Source organism: Homo sapiens, chromosome 2 (assembly GCF_000001405.40).
Source record: "Homo sapiens chromosome 2, GRCh38.p14 Primary Assembly".
NCBI classification, from domain to species: Eukaryota; Metazoa; Chordata; class Mammalia; order Primates; family Hominidae; genus Homo; species Homo sapiens.
The window spans coordinates 39,595,762-39,601,761 of record NC_000002.12 but is presented as its reverse complement, the minus strand read 5'-3'; the positions used below and the strand labels follow the sequence as shown (position 1 = coordinate 39,601,761).

Below are 6,000 nucleotides of genomic sequence, written 5' to 3'. Positions count from 1 at the left end.
AGAGAAATGAGATGTAGGGACATCTATGGGTCATCTCTTCCATCAACCCTAATGTTAGAGATCACTCAGAATGACTACTCTTTTGACCACTGATCGATAGAATACTCTATGCCACCAAATTGACCTAACCATTTTTACTTTGTCTTCTTCTGAAAGTGCTACCAGTTAACTAAATTGCATGAAAACAGCGTGTTTGAGGTAACAGAATGTTCTTTTTTTTTTTTTTTTTTTTTTTTTGTTGTTGTTGTTGTTGTTGTTGAGGCAGAGTCTCGCTCTGTCGCCCAGGCTGGAGTGCAATGGCGCTATCTCCGCTCACTGAAAGCTCCGCCTCCCGGGTTCACGCCATTCTCCTGCCTCAGCCTCCCGAGTAGCTGCGACTACAGGCGCCGGCCACCACGCCCAGCTAATTTTTTTTTTGTATTTTTAGTAGAGACGGGGTTTCACCATGTTAGCCAGGATGGTCTCGATCTCCTGACCTTGTGATCCGCCCACCTGGGCCTCCCAAAGTGCTGGGATTACAGGCATGAGCCACCGTGCCCGGCCCAGAATGTTCTTTCATTTTTACACTAGATAAGTTGTTACCTACTGGGGAGTGTGCATCAGAATCAAGTGCATTACTTTTTAGTATATTATAATGGTAATGCATAATATACATAATGTTTTGCTACTTGCTTTTTGCTTATTATATCCTTGGACATCTTCCCATGTCAATAATATAAATTATGTCATTTGTAAAATGGAAATATGATAGTTATAAAAACTAACTTAATACTTATAAATAAGGTAGAACAATGTCTACCTTACATAACATAATAATTGCTTAACTAAGATTAGCTATTGTTTTGTCATTGGAAAACTGTTCCATAATTTGAATAATCTATTGATGGGCATGTAGACTGCTTTCAGTTTTCCCCTACTACAAATAATATGGAATTGACCAACTTTATATGTAGGCTTGATATGTATAATGTTACTAGGATACGTTTTCAGCAGTGGAAATACTGGATTATAGAGAATATACCTGTACCCATCATATATTTCAGCCAAAGCCCATCCTTCTATACCTGCTTTGTGACCCTCGGGTGGGAATCAGTAAACTGCCTTTTCCAGACTGGCTTGCCAACTGGCTTTTGATTTCTCCAAGGAAGATATTGCCAAATCAAGCTCAAAAATGGCTGTATCAATTTGTATTCCCACCAACAATATATGAAAAGGCTTCTTTCCCAAACTGTGGAGTTAAAAAAAAAAAGTGTAGGACCCCATTCCAAGCCTACTGAGAACTGGGTGGGACCTGGACACAATGTATTTTCCAAAAGCACTATAAATGATCCCAATGCACAGCCAGGTAAGAACCATTGTTCTAGATATTTGATTCTCAAAGTGTGGTCCCCAGATGGGCAGTGTCAGCCCTGGGAGTCTGTTAGAAATGCATCATCTCAGAAGCTATATTTTAACAGGAGCCCCAGGAGATTCAAATGCACATTGAAGTTTGAGAAACACTGCTCTAGAAAGGATACAGCAACAGGCCTAGATTTTGTGGGGCCTAAAGCTTACATAATCTGGGGAGTCCTTTTTACTGAAAAATATACAAAATTACAAACAAAGATGGAGTACAAATTTAATATTTACTTACAATGAAGTAATAAATCCTGATTAAATACAAAATTTTAAAAGCCGAAAAGTACCATAAACATCACAAAATTCTGGAGGAAAAAAGGAAAAAACGCATTTATTCATGAGCTGCCTAATGCACGTCTATATTTTTGTAAATTTTTAGCTATTTCTTTGCATGATAAAAAAAATTTCTATGATCTTTCTATAGAGAGATGAGAATTAATTCAGTCAGCTAGAAATTTGTGTTTTATTCTTGGTAATCTAGAAGAGCTTTTTTTTTTCAACTTTCAACTCATTATAATATCATGTAAAATTTTTTAGAATTTGGTCCAGTTAGGATAAGTTCCATCCAATGTCTTTCATGGGAGCTGTAAGAGTCATGGCATTTCATGGTTCTCATCCAGTGGCTAATTTTAAATGCCCTTGGAATCAAGGACAGTCAGACATCCTTGTGCAGAGCATTACTTTCATGTTTCTTCTCCTCTTCTGTTCTGTGCCCCAGAGTGTCCCAATTCACATAAATTTCTTTACCTCTTCTGTTATTGTTTTACCTACATTTTCTTTGCTCTTGTGATTCTGAGTTTTTGTTTGTTTTTTATTTGTTTTTTGTCTTTATGAGTGTGACCATCAGAGTTTTTATCTTCTCTTATGAAAAAAGAGAGTTCTCAACATTTTGAAGTCTCTGCTAGTTCCTAAAAGTTCCTTCTTTTCGTTAGATCTTCAGTTTCCAGTAGGTTCCAGCCTTCCCTTCACATTTGAGTTTTACAGTATGATCAACCACTCTGAAAATAAAAACAAAATTCATCTGAAATTAAGGCATAAACAAGAACAAGTAAAACACATTTTAGGCCGGGCACAGTGGCTCTCGCCTATAATCCCAGCACTTTGGGAGGCTGAGGCAGGTGGATCATGAGGTCAGGAGTTCAAGACCAGCCTGGCCAATATGGTGAAACCCCATCTCTGTGAAAACTACAAAGATTAGCCAGGCATGGTGGCAGGCACCTGTAATCCCAGCTACACAGGAGGCTGAGGCAGAAGAATCACTTGAACCCAGGCGGCAAAGATTACAGTAAGCCGAGATCGCACCACTGCACTCCAGCCTGGGTGACAGAGTGAGACTATGTCTCAAAGAAAAAAAAAAGAAAAGAAAAGAAAAGAAAAAAGACACATTTTAAAATTGTAAATATAATATATTGTATTTGAATATAACATAATACAAATATATTGAGCTACATAATAGTAGGATCAAATTACCCTTATACTACATCTATTGCTGCCATACTGATGAACATAGGAGTTCTGTCGCTAGAACCCTTGTTTCTTCGGGACTTTCTGTTTCATTGTGTCAAAATTGCATGCCATTTCATCTAAAATTCCCAGAATTTGTCAAGAGAAGATGCATCAAATATACTAAGACATTTTGAGATACATAAAACCTGAAACAGCACACACAGACTGACTGTTCATCATATTATTAAAGATTTTTGTCCTTACAAACACAAGAATTCTGGTGGATTCTATTCTGAGCAATTACCATAAACAATTAAGAGTGTGTTTATAATTGTGTATGTTGCATTACTGCATATATTCCTTACGGAAGAATATTTCCATTTTGTTTAGTCATCATTGTGAACTGAATGTCTGATGATTGGAAGAATTTTCCACAGATTTGCTTCTGGCTCTATCCATTTCAAATCTTGTTTCTCTTCCACTCCCCACATGCTCCTAGTGCCAGGTATTGTAGGACAAGTACCTACTCCCATAATACCCTGCACCTTCATGCCACAGTGCTGGGGAAGCCTGCACAGTGGGCAGTAGAAATATTCCTGGAAGCCATACCTATACTAGGATGGCTAGCAACAGTGTAACTGTATACAGAGTAGCTATAAACTACAAAATATATACCCACCAACCCCAAACCAACACATCCCCAACTCAGTTTGCCTTCCAAAATAGACATAGCCCCAACTTCATTCCAAAAATGTCTGCTGTCACTTTCAGGCCTACCTGCACCTGAAGATTTGTGATGAGGAGGAGGGAGTGGAAAGAGACAGCTGTCTTAACCAATTTCAGTAAAAAATATCTTACTTTTGAAACTTTGCAAAAATATATGACCATGTAAAAGACATTGATGGGGCCTCTCTCGGGGCTTTTGGAAGGAGTTGAGCAAGTAAAGAGCCCTGAAGCTTCAGCTTCATTAAAGTCACAGTAAATCTGTCTCTGCAGACGAGCATGTGGAATCAAAGTGATGGAGCAGAGAAACACCTTCAGAGATCATATAGTACAACACTCGATATAAAGATGGGGAAACCTGAGGCCCTCAGAGGTTATGGGACTTCCTCGGGATCACATAGCTGGTTAGTAACAAAATAGGGACTAAAATCTTGACTCCAAGCCCAGTGCTCCTTCACTAGAGTGCTTCTAGCTTTGTGGTTTTCCCCTTAAGGTCCTTAGACTTTGAGAGCTGAATTTATGCCCAATGTATATTGAAGGAAATAAAATGTTAGAAGAGCTATCACTCCAGATTTCATTTAGGGAAAGTACCAAATAAATACTTTTTATCCCTGTGATCAGTCTCACAGCCTCTCACAAAGTACTTGCCAACAGAGATATTTTGCTGATCCGATGAATTTTACATAACAAGGAAAAAAAATCCCTCCCGTAAATCATAATGCATATGTTGATGAGATGTTGTTTGATACCAAAAAGGCATTCTCTACCCCAAAGAAGGAAGGATTACTGCGTGCTAATACTAAATGCTAATGTTAGCCTATTACAAGTGTTTCATGCTGTGGCACTATTCTGATTTGTGCTTTGAGATAAAGATTTAATATTCCACTCTTAAATTACAGTATCTATTTGTTTTTTATGAGCCGCAGTATGTTCCTACACTAATATTTCAATTCGATCATTTCCACCCTGAAGCTTTATTTTATCTGACAATTCACACACACCACCTAATTAAAACAACTTAAATATGAGATATCTGGACCATATTCTGAGGTCTTCATTTATGCAACGATCACTTATTGAATGCTCCTGCTGTGCCAGGGTCTGTGATAGAGGAAAAGGAGAAGCCTGTGACATTGAAGAGGGGATGCAAAGATGAATGAGACAAGCTGTTTGCCCTCAGGGAGCTCTTAGGCCCATGGGAGAAATAGATACCTGGCCTAGTCATCACCATGCGAGATGGTGGAGTCTGAGCACATAGAAGAGGGGGACAGGAATTCTGCCAGGGAGAGAGGAATTCAACAAGTCTTTGGAGAGCTGACACTTGAATTAATACTCAAAAGAAAATGTTTGGCTGGGCGCGGTCGCTCACGCCTGTAACTCCCAACACTTTGGGAGGCCGAGGTGGGCGGATCACCTGAGGTTGGGAGTTCAAGACCAGCCTGACCAGCATGGAGAAACCCCATCTTTACTAAAAATACAAAACTTAGCCAGGTGTGGTGGCACATGCCTGTAATCCCACCTACTCGGGAGGCTGAGGTAGGAGAATTGCTTGAATCCGGGAGGCGGAGTTTGCGGTGAGCTGAGATCGTGCTATTGCACTCCAGCCTGGGCAACAAGAGCGAAACTCTGTCTCAAAAAAAAGAAAAGAAAATGTTTGCCAGAAAGACAAGAGTTAGGGCATTAGAAACAAAAGGACCAGCATGAACAAAGTCTTGGAGATATGAAGGAGAATATTTGGGTGATCACTAAAAGGTTATTTGGGAATATGTAGTGTGCCCAGGAGCTGGGAGTCCGGTAGTGGGAGAAAAGTGGCAATGCGGGAAATGTCATATCAGCCTGGGAATGCTTTTCTGCCGTGCTACAGGGTCTGGACTTGCTTCTGTAGGAAAGGGTAAGCTTTTTGGCAGTGTTGTGTCATAATCAGTTCTGAGTTTAGGAAAGCCAAGTACAGGAGGCATGGAGTTACAATGCTGTGTGTAGCAAAGGTCCAGCCTGAGCTATGAAAATCCCAGTAACTATGATGATAGCATCCGCTGGCAAAAGATCTCCAGCAGTATCTTCTGATAAGCATCTCATTGTTAAACTCTGTAACTGGAAATGCTGCATAACAAGACTAAGGCTCTCCCCATCGTTTTTCTTATAGCAGGCAGTTATTTACAACATAAAGTTCCAAGATCATTCCTAAAAGTAAGTAAGACGTCATCCCAAGATGACCTATAGTTGATCCCGTCCTCCTATTCTAGTCATTCTAATGATTTCACATGCCACCACTTTTTCTTTTCTTTTTTTACAATCAGTGAGGCTGAATCAAGATGGGCCAATGAGTCTGACTTGTAGAGAAAGCAATAATGTAAGAGGCTTGGGACCTAGTTATCAAAGCTCCTCCCTTCTAGGTCAAACAGGAAAACACGGAAATCCACCAGCCCAGTGGGA

At 39.8% G+C, this 6,000-nt stretch overlaps 1 long non-coding RNA gene across 1 annotated transcript in view; it reads right to left on the bottom strand.

The window, feature by feature from the left end:
• Positions 1-417: 417 nt before the first annotated feature.
• Positions 418-6,000, bottom strand: part of MAP4K3-DT (MAP4K3 divergent transcript) — a 163,929-nt gene continuing 158,346 nt past the window's right edge. Inside the window, exon 6 of the long non-coding RNA NR_037875.1 lies at positions 418-2,396. This is a non-coding gene — a long non-coding RNA (MAP4K3 divergent transcript). The remainder of the gene's footprint in view (positions 2,397-6,000) is intronic.